Raw genomic sequence first — 15,744 nt, forward strand, 5'->3', positions numbered from 1 at the left:
TAGTCTTGAACTACTGGCCTCAAGCAATCCTTGCCTCCCAAAGTGCTGGGATTACAGGCACGAGTCACCACACCTGTCCTGGATGTCTTGTAGAATAGATGAGTGTGAACAGGAAGTGCTTGAGAGAACAAACTGGTCCCTGGGCTCAAATCCCTACCCAACTGCTTATTAGTTGAGTGACTGTGGGCAATGCACTTAACTTCTCTATGGTTTTGGTTCCTTATCAGTAAAAAGATATCAGAAGAATAACATTTTTCATATAGTTATTGTGAAAATTAAATGTATAAACAAACATAAAGCTCTATATAAGTTATTATTTTTTTCATATGTTTAATGACCATTTGCATTTTTTCCTGTGAACTGTCTATTCATATCCTTTGACCATTTTTCCATTAGCTGTTATTTTTTCTTTCTGCAGTATAAAAGCTCTTTATGTATTTAGGAAATTAATCCTCTGTCATTTGTGTAGCAAATGTTTTCCCCAATCTGTCCTTGTCTTTTCACTTCATTTAAAGCACTTTGCCATGTAGAAATTTTTAATTCTTATGTAATTAAATATATCAAACTTTCCTTTTGTGACTTTTGAACTTTGTGCTTTAGAAACCTCACTTCTTGAGGTATGAATGAAGAGAAACCAGAACTACTTCCTGTTTTCACTCCCTGCCTTTCCTTCCCTGGCTTTCTCCCCATCCTGTGGATGAGTCAAGGTTACCTCCCAATCCCACCTCAGTGGTTTTTCCACACTGGATCTCTCCCCACCTCCATCTCAGGCCCCTCAAGAGTAGCACCAATGAGGCCACTTCCCTGCTCAAGAATGTTCAATAACTCCCCATCACCTACTGGACTAAGAACAAGCTTCTCATTAGAGGCATCTTCCTAGATGACACCAACTTACTTTGCAGGCTGGTGATTCCCCTAAATGTCCCCTGTCTTCCAGTCCAACTCTACTTTTCAATGTTCACTTCATCTTTCCCACCTCCCTGACCTTCATCACACTATTTCATCTACCTGCAAAGGCTCCTGCCCATGTCTGCCCATTAAAATTCTCATCGTTGAAGACTCATCCCAAATAGCCCTTTTCCATGAAGCATCCACTGGTCCCCACCAATCAGATATGAGCTCTTCTTTCCTTGCATCTTCAAAAAAACCTTGTTTGTTCTTTTCCCAAGACATGCATCTCAATCTGCCTTAAATAATAGGCTATGGTGTGTCCCCCCTGCTTACAAGAACTCCATGAAAAATGTGAGCTGTGTTTCAGTTACCTCTGCATCTGTCACAGCACCATATCCTTTTGGTGAAGTATAGTAGACACAGGCCATCAGATCAAATGGGAGAGGGGAATATGAGGGAGTTACTGTTCTTTTACTAAACCATCACATCCAGACAGCTGGGCTGGAGGCTGCAGGAGATGCCTACTGAGCCAGTTTCTTCTGCTATGTCAGACAGTGGATATTGGTTACCCTTCTTTCAGTTGCAAGTGAAAGAATACCCAATCCTTAAATAAAAGAAGATTTGGGCGGATTCTGGGGCTCCAATGTTGTCACCTGGAGCTGGTCTCTCTCCAGCCTTTGGCTTCACTTCCTGTGTATTGGTATTGGTTTTGTTGTCAGACATGCTCTCCCATGCAGGCAGATGGCAGCAACAGCTCTAGCAGTCATTCATCCTTCCACATCATCCCCAATTCCAGTCCAGCGAGAAAGAGCATTTCCCTCTCTCCCAGCAGCTCCAGCAAAGGTTTTTCCGCCTTTTGCAAGCTTTTATTGGGTTAGATATCCAACCTTTACTAAGATCACAGGAATGTACTGTTCTGATTGGTCAGGCCTGAGCCCAGATCCAAGAGTTGAGTAGACTCTGTAAGCACATGGGTGCAGTGTGCAACCCGGAATAATTCTACAAAAGGAAATTGATGTAATGTTAGCAAAAGAAGGAAGAACAGATGCTTGTTAACCAAAAACACCAAATATCTACCGCACAAAATGGAGAACATTGCTGCTCTCCTGAAAGACGGAGATGGGCCTGAAGCACCAACTCTGAGCTATTTTGCTCCTTCCTGCTGCTCTCCTCTGCCCTGGAGGCAATGCTTCTAGCTTCCAAACACAACATGGTCCCCCAAGGTTTGTGGCTCAGCCACAGGACCAGTGTGAACAGATCCTAACCAAACCCCAGACCAGGCGATGGCTGGTGTGGTCCAGCTGACTCCAAGTTGTTAGAACCATGAGTCCCAGCCTGAGTCCCAAGAGTTGCAGGATTGTTTATCTTTGTTGGGGAAAAACTGTAGCCAGAGCCATAAATCACTGCCCAGCTGGATGGCCTCGCTGAAATGTTTGTTTAAACAATGAAATCTCCTGACGGACTGAAAATATAGGATGGATCACCCTGTCCTTCTCAGGCCCAGTCTTGCAGGCTGGAGCCCAGGGCATAGAGAGTGACTCAGAATTGGCTCCCCTCCCCCACTCTCCACCCCTCCCACCCCCAATATCAGCCCCAAAGAATGAAGCCACGGCATAGCTAATCCGAAACAGCAGATAATGCGAAAGCCATGTCTATCAATCTTTGAAATGCAGTCTCTGGAATGGTTCGCATTGGACGTGCCTTCCTGATGGAAGTAGCATTGCTTGGCTAATATGAACAAGAGGATGTGGAAGGGGCAGCCTCTGAAAGAACACTGCATGGAGCACCGTGGGGAGATCTGGCTCTGCCCTGACCACTGTTGGGTGTGGGCAAGTGACTTCCACTCTCTGGGCCTTGGTTTCCTCCCTTGTTAGATGAAGGAGTTAGACTTGGTCTTTGTGCTTCCTTTCAGCCCTTGCCTGCTAAGTGAGGTGGCTGTGCTTTTATATGCCCCAAAGAAAGACCAGATAAACAGGAGCAGGCAGGGGAAGAAGATGGGGAAGAAGAATAAGGAGGAGGGTTGTTGAATTAGATGAATTCCCACTTAGGGAGGCCAAGGCAGGCAGATCGCTTGAGGTTAGGAGTTTGAGACTAGCCTGGCCAACATGGTGAAACCTCGTCTCTACTAAAAATACAAAAATGAGCCAGGCATGGTGGCAGGCACCTGTAATCCCAGCTACTCGATAGGCTGAGGCTCGAGAATTCTCTTGAACCCAGGAAACAGAGGTTGCAGTGAGCTGAGATTGCATCACTGCACTGCAGCCTGTGTGACAGAGTGAGACTCTGTCTAAAAAAACAAACAAACAAAAAAAGAATTAGATGATGCCCTTGCAGTCTCTTCCTGCCCTAGGATGTCTTCTTCTGAGTTCTCTGGCCCTTCAGAGAAGGAGAGAGGGGAAGCTGCTTACTAAAGGCCCCATTGGCAGGCCCATAATCAGGAGCCTGGTACACTCCAAGGAGGTCACAAAGAGTGTTCCACTGATTCTGGGATGGGGGTGACATGGACCAAGTCAGACCTCAGGACGGGCCACTGCCCAGGCAGGACCTAGCTTCTGGGAGCCTATCTAGGCTGATGGAGATCAATGAGGGGAAGGGAGGATCCAGAGGTACACAATCTTCTTCTCAGGAATTTCCTACAGGAAAAAGGGCAGCAGAGACCTGACCCTTTCCAGTGTGGGGGCTGTGACCTTGGCTGTGCCATAGGAGCCATGACAGGCCTGAGATAGAGTATGTGAGCTGGGGTATTGACAGGTCCTGTCATTGGTTTGCCAAGTATTTTCAAGAACATATGACCTGTCACGTACAGTGGGAGGCACAGGGAATGCAAAGGTGAATAAGACCAGGGTTCTGTGAGAGTTTGCAGTGGGATATTCCAATGGGGCGAGCCATGGGATTTGCAACAGGGATTGCAGAGGAGATTGGGAAAGGATCGTAAAGGCATTTGTTAAAAGTTCCAGGAATGAGGTGTGAAGGACGGCATGTGGTCTTTAATTAAGACCTGCAGTGGAGGCTATGATGGGATTGCCTGTTGGGGATATAATGGGATGTTTTGGGGTTGGTCCAGCAGCCGTAAAATGGGAATATAATGGGAGTGTGTTGGTAGATATAACAAAGTATGTGTGGGGTGGGGGTCGATAGGATAATCCATTGACAGAGCAGCCTTTCCTGACAGCTCAGATGAGATCAGATTCTTCCTGTTGATATGGTCTCATAGTATCATATTTATCATCTATTACACTTCCCACAATTGAAATGAGTCCATTGTTTTGTACTTATTTGCTTAATGTCTATCTCCTTTACTAGGCTGTAAAAGCTGTCGGGGCTGTTGCCATGGAGGGAGGCATGGGTGTTGCTCACTACTGTACCCCATTCTCCTCCCCGCCCCAACACACAGCCCAGGACTGGGCACATAGGAAGCTCTCAATCAATAATCACTCATGGAAAGAATGGATGGAGACAGGATCTAGAACTAGCTTAGCTCCATGATCATCAAGGTGGTCAAGCCCCCTCCCCAAATCCAGACCCAAATCCTGCAGGGTTGCTCAATGTCCTCAGAATAAGTAACGGTTTTGTTATTGAATCTGGAGACTTTGGTTTCATTTGAAGGGAGGTGTTGCCATCTGGTGCCAAATTGGAGAAATACACTGAGAGAAAGTTCCTTCTGCTCCAGTTCTAGCAGCCTCCACTGACTACCCGCCCGGTGACCGTCAGCCAGCCTTCAGCCCCAGCTGCACAGAAATCAGTCCCATCTTCTCCCACTGCCTCGGGAAGTCAGGCAGCAAGAGTTCAGAAAACAGAGACCATGCAGGCCCTGTGCTGGACTACCCCTTCATCAGTCCCTCCAGTCAGCTCTCAGGTCATCATGGGCGCACCCTCACTCCTTCCTAACTTTGAACCCAAATGCTCATCCTGAAAAGCAGCAGCCCAGTGTGGGAGCAGGAGCCACAAATGAAGCTTTGATTCCACAATTAACATATGAGAAATTTCTCATCATCCGAGATTTTATTTTGGTCAATCCAGTTGACCCGCTCTGGATGGTGGGCACTGATGGAGATTTTGGAGACAAAAGACTTGTTTCTATATCATATCCTGTCATTGGCAGATGAGTATATTCCCCAGAAGTTAACTTTTTCCTCCTCTTTCTCTCCTCTGTCCTTGCCTTGAAAGCAAACACCGCTTGGCTCACACGACAATGGGGCCCAGACTTTTTTCAAGTCCAACATTGAAATCAAGCTTACAAAACAGAGAAAATGGAGATTTAATCTGCAATATAAAAGGATGAATTGCTTTACAATGTGAGTCACTACAGTTTCACTGATTCAACAAATATTTGTTATGCTCCTACTGTGTGCCAGGCATCTTTCTAGCCACAAGGAAATCAGCAGTGAATAAAACTCCAGCTCAAAGGGGTCTACATTCCAATGGAGCATCTCTCACCATGGAGCTCCTTATCCTGTGTCCTCTCCTGAAAGCAGGAGCAGCATCAGCACCCTCCTCACTACCTCACCTAGCAATATGCATATGACATCTTAACAAGAGGACTGAACATTGAAAGGACGGCTTCACAGGAACACAGCTGCTCTATAAATGGAGTGTATATTTAAATTGTCTTTATATTTTATGGAACATGTTTTATTTGCATTATGTCACTTGGGTGGGGGACAGTGGCAGTGCCCCAAGGCCATCTCATAGAAGCATGCCAGCTGAGTACAAACACTGCATTCACTAAGCAAACCCAGATGCATGGCAGCTGCCTTGTTACTCCCCAGTCAGACCCCTAACACATTTTTTTAACTTATTGTCAAAAGAAAAACTTTTGACAAATTAAATTTAACAGAACTTATTTTAGCAAAGAACAATTCATTAATCAGGCAGCACTCAGAACCAGAAGAGGTTCAGAGAGCTCCCTTTGTAATGTGGGCAGTGAGTACTTTAGAACAGGGAAGTAACTTAAAAAAATAGCTTGATTAATTACAGCTAGGCATTTGCTTTATTTGGACGTGGTCTGGTCAGCTGTCAACCTATGATAGGCTGAAGTTCAGCTGCTTGTGACTCGCTGAAACCCAGCTATCTGTTAGAAAAAGTATAGTAGTTAGATTTTAGTACCTACTAAGTTAGGTCACAGATCATTACATAGAAACTCAATGTACAAAGACAGGGTCCAGGGCCAGGCACAGTGGCTCATGCCTGTAATCCCAGCACTTTGGAAGGCCAATGTGGGCGGATCGCTTGAGGTCAGGAGTTAGAGACCAGCCTGGCCAACATAGCAAAACCCTGTCTCTACTAACAATACAAAAATTAGCCAAGCATGGTGGCACGCACCTGTAATTCCATAAAACAAAAATTAGCTGGGCATGGTGGTGTGCACCTGTAGTCTTGGCTACTTGGGAGGCTGAAGCGCGAGAATCGTTTGAACTCGGGAGACGGAGTTTGCAGTGAGCTGAGATCACGCCACTGCATACTACAGCCTGGGTGATGGAGTGAGACTCCGTCTCAAAAAAAAAAAGAAGAAAAAAAAAAGACAGGCTCTAGGCCAAACTTAATTTAACACTATCAAATTAGAAAATATATTTTTGCCTATGATACTAGTCACAACCAGAGATATTAGGAGAGATGAGCACTCCTTATGTATTGCTGCTAGCACTGAAAATTGTTAGAACTACTAAAAATCAATCTGACAATATATTTAAAAACCTTGAAAAATATTTATACATACGGATTTAGTAGTTCTGAAGACATCTATACTACAAAATAATCTTAAAGATTTATGCACAAAGATTTTCATTTTAGCATAATTTACAATAGCAAACAAATTGAATCCACAAACATTCAACAGAGAATTATGTTATATTGGTATGATGTAAAAGTAGGCAGTCATTAATAATGATGTCACAGGCCGGGTGCGGTGGCTCATGCCTTGTAATCCAAGCGCTTTGGGAAGCCGAGGCAGGTGGATCACCTGAGGTCAGGAGTTCAAGACCAGCCTGGCCAACACAGTGAAACCCTGTCTCTACTAAAAATAAAAAAATTAGCCGGGCATGGTGGCCCACACCTGTAGTCCCAGCTACTCAGGAGGCCGAGGCAGAAGAGTTGCTTGAACCCAGGATGCAGAGGTTGCAGTGAGCCGAGATCATGCCACTGCACTCCAGCCTCGGCAGCAGAGTGAGATTCTGTCTCAAAAAAAAAAAAAAAGTCACAAATAATTTTTTGTGACATGGGGGAAAATATGTATCAAAAGTAGAACGCAAAATCTTATACATAATAAATTCATATCTATTTATTTAAAAAAAAAAAAAAAAAAGGTAAAAAAAAAACTAGAAGGAAATTACCAAAACATTGAAAGTAGTTAACTGTTGCTGGCCCCTAACCCATTCTATCTGGGAATTCTGAGGTAGTCATGGCCAGGGGGTATGTCATGGGCCATGTATGAGTTGTCATGGCCAGATGCTCCAGGGTGGAGCATCTCTGGGTGTTCTTCAGCAGAATGCTGCCCCCTAGCGGGCGGCCCACATCCTGGGCAGCTCAGGAGTCACTGGATTTCCTCGCGCTCCCGCGCCACCACTCTACTGTCACCCAGCGCGGCCCAAGTCAGCCCTGCCACCAACGCCCGCCGCGGTCGAGAAAAGGCACCCCTTAGCATTTATGGCTCTATTAATTTTCCAAAGGGTGGCCCGATTCTTTTAATTTCACTAGAGCCCTTTCTCTTCAATGACTTTTAAAATCTTCCCCCCGGGGCAAAGTTGAAGGACATAGAATACTACCCACTCATTCCACCTTAAAAGCATCTTCTGGAGCACCTTCAACTGGTACCCAGCATCTTGATCCTTCCCTACCTCAGGGTTAAGTGCTCCCCCACCAGAGCAGTTAATGCCAAGAGAGACTGTCCACAACGTCATTCTCCACCTTTCTCAGTCAATTGTGTCCTCACCACTGATCTCAAATTTTTGGTCACTGTTCCTCCCAGAAGACCCACAATATTTCATCCTTGTATCCCGCAATTCTTACCATGGGTGATAACAGTCAGCTTCCCTAGGGAACACTTACTGTAAATAGGCCAGATATGTGGAAAGATCTTAAGTTATTAATACCAATAAATAAAATAAATCACAGCAAAAGAAAAATTGGTCAATTAATAAATAACTGCTGTGTTGAAACACACACATACTCACCGCCCTTTCTGTAATAAAAAACAACTAAAAACATAAAAGTGAATGTCATGTGTCTGTTTTAAGGTGACGAAGCTAATACCATTGACAGAGAAAGCACTTTAAGGACCAAAATAGAAGGGAAGAAGCTCATCAAACAATCCCAGCTGAAGTGCTGTGGGCGAGGAACCTTCAGGTCCTGCCATGGAGGCAGGCCTCAGGCACAGACATTCTCATATGTGTGCGTAACAGAAAGGAGATAACTGCATTTCTCAGCACTCCTTCCAAGGAGCAGAATGAGCAATGGAAAGAACACTCCGAGAAGCTGGTTGGGCGGAGGTATGGGCAGGTGGTTGAGGCACACTGCTGAGGATAACAACAGATGCTCAAGTGACACAGGATAGGGTCCAGCTATGCTCTAAGGAGACAAGCTGTTGTTTAACTGGATGGAGGGCACATTTAGGGCCAGAGTATGACTGCTCAGAACTGTAGAGCGAGGAGGCTAAGATTACAAGGAGGAAGGCCAGGGAAGGAGGAGACACTGGGAGGAGTGCAGGAGAAAAGGGGAAAGGCCCAGGGTCTGGCAGGTAGAGACTTGAAGGAGAGCAGAAGTATCTAATGGAGATTAGCTCTTCCGCCTAGGATGTAGAAAACTGGGAAGAGCATTGTTCCAACCTTAATGACAAGAGAAAAATGGATAATCTACAAAATTCTTGACTTTTCTTGAGTCTATCAGGAGCTGAGGTTGCAATGCAACTGAACAGCCTGAAATCTAAGGAAAGATGGGAGCCTCCAGAGAGAGATGGGTGCAAGCATGAGCTCCCCTGTGGCAGAGCAAAGGAGGAAGAAACTCAAGCACCACAGAAGTGGGGTGTCAGGTCATTGAGCTACTTACAGAGAAGCTAAATGGTTGTGAGGCTTGTTTCTGTGCTTTATTGGGGTGGTTCTAGAGCAGTGTTCTAAATTGGGTGTGATTTTGTCCCCACCCCAACCCTGGGGATATTGTCAATTTCTGGAGATATTTTTGGTTGTCACAATTAGGAGCATGCTACTGGTATCTAATGGATAGAAGTCAGTGATGCTGTTAAACATTCTACAACGCACAGGAAAGCCCTCTACAACAAATAATTATTCAAGCACACACACACACACAAATATAAATAGTACCAAGGTTGAGAAACCCTGATCTAGAGTACCTTCGCCCAGTTAGTTTTACTCTACCTTCACCCAGGCCAGTTTTACTCTATGTAATGGACTGAATGGTTGTGTCCTCCCAAAATTTACGTGTTGACATCTTAACTCCCAAAGTGATGGTGTTAGGAAGTGGGGCTTTGGGGACATAATTAGGCTATGAAGGTGGAGCCCTGATGAATGGGATTAGTGCCCTTATAAAAGGGACCCCAGAGAGCTATTTTGCTGTCTTTCTGCAATATGAGGATACAAGAAGTTAGCTGTCTGCAGCCAGGATGGGCCCTCAGTGGAACCCAACCATGCTGACACCCTGATCTCAGACTTCCACCCTCCAGAACTATGAGAAATAAATTTCTATTGCTTATAAGCCACAATTTCTATTGTTTATATCCCAGCTTGTGACACTTTGTTATAGCAGCCAAAACTAAGATATCTTACTACTAAGATCTCTACTAAATGCTCCAAACATGCAAGAATGTCTCTCCACACTCCACTCTGGCTAGTTGAAACTTGCACATCTTCCAATCTGATGAGATGTGAGCTCTGGAAATTGTTCACCTTATGGCTTCCCGGTAGCTGTGTTGCTAAAAGCTGTTCACCTGGCTTAGCGGAGTCTTATCCCACACACGCACAGCTTACTGTTTTGCCAAAATTCAAGGAAACCCCATGCAGATTGCTGGAGCTCCTTCTCTGCATACCTCCCTTCTCTCCAGTACTCTGTCCACAAATTCCAGCTGCCTCAGCCTAGCGGACTTCCAATCTCAACACATCAACTAAATGAGGACTCCCAACTCTGTTAGGTTCCCCTCTCCTGTGCTTGCTCTGAAAAGTGCCTCCAGGCAGAAAGCCTGAGTGATCAAAGGGTTCTCCACGCGTCTCTCCCATTTCTGCATATCTTACAAGCCAAGGCACTAACCACCTCTGTTCCTATCTTTTCAAGAATGTTTGTACAGTAAACAGCTGTGAAAGATAGAGATTATGTCTCCCTGTGGAGGAAAGGGTAGGTTTGTGTATTGTCCACTGCTAGAAAGATATTGTCTTCCCCCAGGACAAAGTTCAAGTAGGCAAAGTGCCCATTTTGAATGCTCGTGGTTCCCTAAGCTCAGGGTTCCTCTTCTGTAATGCAGCCCTCTACATGGGCACATGCTACTCAGACTTCTTCATTACTCACAGAAACAGCAGTGGCCAAAGTACAAACATTTGCCCTGGTTCTTTGAGTCTCAGGAAGTTGCACAGGAACCAGGGCAAATGTTTGTACTCCGGCCGCTGCTGATGCTGTGAATAATAAAGCCCTTTGTCTCTGACCTAGAAGTCTTTTGTCTTCTGCCAGCATCCGTGAAATGGTAGCAAGCTAACTTGTTAACTTACAAATACAGTAAATTTCAGACTCCTTCACAATTCTTGACATACCTACTATGTGTGAGGCTCTGATTGTAAGAGGGGTACCCTACAAAACATAGATTATAAACTGCTCTTCTGCAGACAACAATCTAGTATGAGATAAAGATTTTAAAAGACAAACATATCATTTTTAAGTGGCAGCAAGTATCAAGAAAGAAATTAGGAAATTGCAACAGAGAATGACATGGGGGACAATTTTAGATTAAGTAGTTAGAGGAGGCTTCTCTGGACAGGAGACACTTAAACTGAGTCTTAGAGATAAGAACAAGCAGACCTATGGCAAGCAAAGGCAAGAGCCTCCCAGGCAGAAGGAATCACATCTACAAAGGTTCAGAAGCAGCAAAGAGTTTGGCACATTTTGAGGAATTAAGAAATCAATATGATTAAAGCATAGTGACCATGTGGGTGCTAGGTAAGCATGGAGTTAATAGGCAAGGTCTAAATCAGGGACCTCAATCCTGGCTGTACTTTAGAATCTACCAAGGAATATATCAAAAATATCAGTGCCCCAGGTCCATCCGAGAGCAATTAAATCAGAATGTTTAGGTGTGAAACTCAACCTCTGATAATCTTTGAAATAGTCCTAGGTGATTCTAATATGCAGCAAGGGTTGAAGACCACGGATCTTGAGGCTGCCAGAGCCTCGTAGGAGTCTGAGTTTTATTGAGGAGTTCAGATTTGAGTTAAAGTGTAATAAAAAGCCATTGAGGCCAGGTGCAGGTGGCTTATGCCTGTAATCCCAGCACTCTGGGAGCCTGAGGCAGGTGGATCACCCAAGGTCAGGAGTTCAAGACCAGCCTGACCAAACATAGTGAAACCCTATCTCTACTAAAAATACAAAATTAGCCAGGTGTGGTGGTGCATGCCTGTAATCCCAGCTACTTGGGAGGCTAAGGCAGGAGAATCACTTCAACTCAGGAGGCAGAGGTTGCAGTTAGCTGAGATCGCGCCATTGCACTCCAGCCTGGGCAACAAAAGCGAAACTCCATCTCGAAAAAAAAAAAAAGCCATTGAAGGGATTTAAGCACAGAAGAGATACCATGTTTTAAAAGGATCTCTCTTGGCTGCTGTGAGAAGGATGGATTGGAGGAGTTCTGTGGTGGAAGCAAAGAGATGAGCTGGGAAGTTAATCAACTTGTCTAGACAACAGGTGAAAATGGAGGCTTGGACTAGGGTGTGGCTATAAGAAGAATACTAGGAAACATGATTGGATGAGTAGAGCGGAGCCAGATCACAAATACTCTACAATATCAGATTGAGGAAATTAGGCTTTGTCCTGCGGGTATCAGGAGAAGTGGGATATTTAAGTATCACGAGTTGGGATTACATCCAGATGCAAGTCATAGAAAACAACTTGCAGTGGCTTAAACAAAGGTTTATTTTTCTTACATAAACAAGGAATCTAGAAGTAGTATCATTTGTTCAGTTGCTCAAGGTCAAGAGCAGCATCTTGGTTATTCCCTGATGGTTGCAAAATGGCTGCTGCAGCTCCTCTGTAAACAAATTCATGGCAGTAAGGAAGGAGAACAGGTGGCACCAGCCACCTCATCAGATTGGAAGATATACAAGTTTCTTTTAACAGGCATTGGCACATGTTTCTAGAGACCACATCCACCATTTTCACTGGTTGTAACTATGACTCCCTTTCCTAAAGGGAGAGCAGACAAGAAAAGATTTAGCTTTTTCTAGACACTATCATGCAGGGAAGCAAAAACTGCTAGAATTCTGAGCTGATGAATAACATCCTCAAAGAGGTGTTTTAGGAGGGTACAGCCCAGGGGACAATAGAAAAAGTGGAAAGAGAAGAACTAGCAAACCAAGCACATTAAGAGGCAATTGATGAAGTAAATAGGATGAAGATCTGAATTGAAATGAAGACAGCAGAAATTAAAAAGGGCTTAGCTGAAGGGATGTGTCTACTCACAGCTATAGGCCTAGAGATGTTTTTCTGTGCTTTCTTGTAAATGTGTATAACTTTTGCAAAGATAGAGAAATGTATATAAGTAGATGTGCATTTCTGTAAATTCATGTTCCTCTGTGTCCATAACTGTGTCATTTATTTAGCAAATATTTATTGAGCCCCTCCCTTTGTACAAGGCAGCATGCCAGGCACTATGGGGGAACACTAACATCGGTCAACCACAAATTCTACCCTCAAGGAGATTACAGACCAGAAAAGGAGAAAACACGCATCCCCAAAGAGCCAAAATGCAAGTTAGTAAAATGACAAATATCATAAAGTTATGAAAGTTCAGAAGAGAAAGTCATTCCCTTAGCTGGTAGAAGGTTCATCTGAGTTGCTACAGGCTTGCACCTGCAGAAGGTGGCATCTGAGCTAGGTCTTCTTTTGTTTTGTTTTATTTTGTTTTTGAGAAGGAGTCTTGCTCTGTTGTCCAGACTGGAGTGCAATGGCGTAATCTCAGCTCACTGCAACCTCCGCCTCCCAGGTTCAAGTGATTTTCTCCTGCTTCAGCCTCCAGAGTAGCTGGGATTACAGGTCCCCGCCACCAGGCCCAGCTAATTTTTGTATTTTTAGTGGAGACAGGGTTTCACCATGTTGGTCAGGCCGATCTTGAGCTCCTGACCTCAGATGATCCACCCGCCTCGGCCTCCCAAAGTGCTGGGATTACAGGTGTGAGCTACCGCGCCCAGCCTGAGCTAGGTCTTAAAGAATTAATAGGCCAGGTGCAGTGGCTCATGCCTGTAATCCCAGCATTTTAGGAGCCCGAGACAGGCAGATGGCTTGAGTCCAGGAGTTTGAGACCAGCCTGGGCAACATGGTGAAACTCCATGTCTACGAAAAAAAAATTAGCCAGGCATGCTGGCATGCACCTGTGGTCCCAGCTACTCAAGAGGCTGAGATGGGAGGATTACTTGAGCCTGGGAGGCAGAGATTGCAGTGAGCCTTGATCGCACCACTGCACTCCAGTCTGGGCGACAGAGTGAGACCCTGTCTCAAAATAAATAACTAAATAAAAATAAAAAGAATTAATAGAATGGGGGGGAGGAATGTAGGAAGGGGGCAAGTGACAACACAGCATTCTTGTCTAATTGGCTAGAAAGGGTGGTGAAAAATAAGCCTGGAAGAAGTAGATCCAAAGAACTGCATCTTCTTTTACAGACTAGCAAGTATTTACTGGACTCCTACTAAGGTGGAGGTACTATGCTGGAGCCTACATTTCTACATTTGTGTTTCTATGTTTTCACATATGTGTGCCTGTTTGTGAACAAGTATATGTTTTACTCTGTGTACACAGCTGTGTCTCCCTTTGTATGTTTTAGTTGGCATCTTAATGTGTACATTTACACAAAACTTTGTGTGTATGTGCCTACATATGCCCAGCAGGTGGCGCCCAAAATCATAACTAGCAAGGAAAATTTTACCATTGTATTCCCATACCCAGCACCATCTCTAACAAATTGAAGATAATAAATATGTATAGAATGAGTTGATGAAATGCTAACATGCCCCATGGAAGAAATGGGGGAAGGAGAGAAGTTCAGAGAGGCTGACCCATCAGCAAAGACCCCCACAAAGGGTCTGTTGGATTCATGGTCACACTCATAGAAGTCACAGAGGGGTCAGCAGGGGGATGTATGATAAAACAATAAAACGTATTGTTTGCTATCACCCCTAAGGCTTCTCCTCCTCATAATGGGGCATCTAACCCTGATCCTTTCCTTCAGCTCACTTTTATTTAGTGCCTAGTGAGTACTAGGACCTATGGGAAACACCACCTCTGCCCTGTAGGAGTTTACAATCTACGAAGAGAAATAAAGCTTATTAAGAAAATAATAATAACAGAGCTGGGCACAGTGGCTCACACCTGTAATCCCAGCACTTTGGGAGGCCAAGGAAGGAGGATCACTTGAGCTTAGGAGTTCAAGGCCGGCCTGGGCAAATGGCAAAATCCCATCTCTATAAAAAATTTAAAAATTAGCTGGGTGTGGTGGCACACGCCTGTAGTCCCAGCTACTAGGGAGGCTGAGGTGGGGGGATCACTTGAGCGTGGGAGGTAGAGGCTGCAGTGAGCCATGAGCGTGCCACTGCACCCCAGCCTGGGCAACAGAGTGAGACCCTGTCTCAAATAAATAAATAACAACCAATACAACCCTCTCTGCCTACTGCTGAGGAAGTTCCATCGCACCCCGTATGAGAAGTGCTCTGTTAAGGACAGAGCCATGGAGCCAGAGGAGGGTCCAATTGATCTTCTTAAGGACCTTTTGATCCAGAGGTCTCTGCCCAGTGCACATCTGGCCCTGGCACCTCCTCCCTAACCCTTTCCCACCCTGGCTCCTCCTCCCTAACCCTTCCCCACCCTGACTGCTTCCTAACCCCTCCCCACCCTGGCACCCTTCCATAGCCTGTCCAGGAGAAAGAAGGCCTCTGATTGCCCACAGTGACTCCTGCTCTGGTCATTTCACACAAGAACATAGATAGCACCATCAATATTCTCTTTGCTCACTTCACAGGGGAACTGAAACTTAGTTTTGTAGGAAAAACCTTGAACGAACAAAGATCTAGTAAATGGGACCAATTTCAGGTCGCTGCGCACTATGAGGGCTGGCAATGCCAAACATGCTAAAAGGCTGAGTTGTCATCATGGCTGGTTCTGGCTGCTCAGTCCTCCCCATTGCCTCGGTCCTTTCTCCGCGCTTCCAGCAGCACTTGGTGACGGATATATGATGCCACTGCCGGTCAAGGCTTCCCCATGAACCTCTGAGGAAATCCACATACCTCAGTCTGGCACTCAGGGCTCTCTGCAAAGTGGACCTCACCTCCTGCTCCAGCCACTTCTCCCATTATTCCTCTGTACCCACCTGCACCCCACACTCTCAGCTCCCCAGATATACTCACACTTTCTCTCCCCTGCACCTTTGCTGAGGCGGCTCCTTTTCCCTGGAAGGTCCTCCTTTCCCATCTCCACCTGACAAATGACCACCGCCTTTCAAGGCCCACTTCAAATGCCACCTCCTTCCTCATGCCTTTCATGCTCCACCCCAACCCAGTGTAGCCTCTCCCTCCTCTCTTGGCAATTGTCATCCTCAGCTTCATTATTTTAATGTTTATTATTCAAATACCAGATCCTTCTATTAGACGCTAAGCACTGCAAGG

General features: G+C 45.2%; 1 long non-coding RNA gene across 1 annotated transcript, besides 1 other annotated feature; it reads right to left on the reverse strand.

The window, feature by feature from the left end:
* Positions 1 to 1,343: 1,343 nt before the first annotated feature.
* LOC105374531 (uncharacterized) lies at positions 1,344 to 15,663 on the reverse strand. Its single transcript, XR_940001.1, has 2 exons — positions 15,487 to 15,663; positions 1,344 to 1,890 (listed from the first exon to the last, which is right to left on the reverse strand). It is a non-coding gene; the product is annotated as an uncharacterized LOC105374531 (long non-coding RNA).
* Positions 4,420 to 4,479: an enhancer, noted in NCBI's record as "active region_15637". NCBI's record gives its function as "activates an Ori minimal core promoter by ATAC-STARR-seq in GM12878 lymphoblastoid cells {active_cell/tissue: GM12878}" and the evidence as "EXISTENCE:reporter gene assay evidence [ECO:0000049][PMID:35858748]".
* Positions 15,664 to 15,744: the final 81 nt, after the last annotated feature.

The sequence above is a fragment of the Homo sapiens genome, chromosome 2 (assembly GCF_000001405.40).
Source record: "Homo sapiens chromosome 2, GRCh38.p14 Primary Assembly".
NCBI lineage: Eukaryota > Metazoa > Chordata > Mammalia > Primates > Hominidae > Homo > Homo sapiens.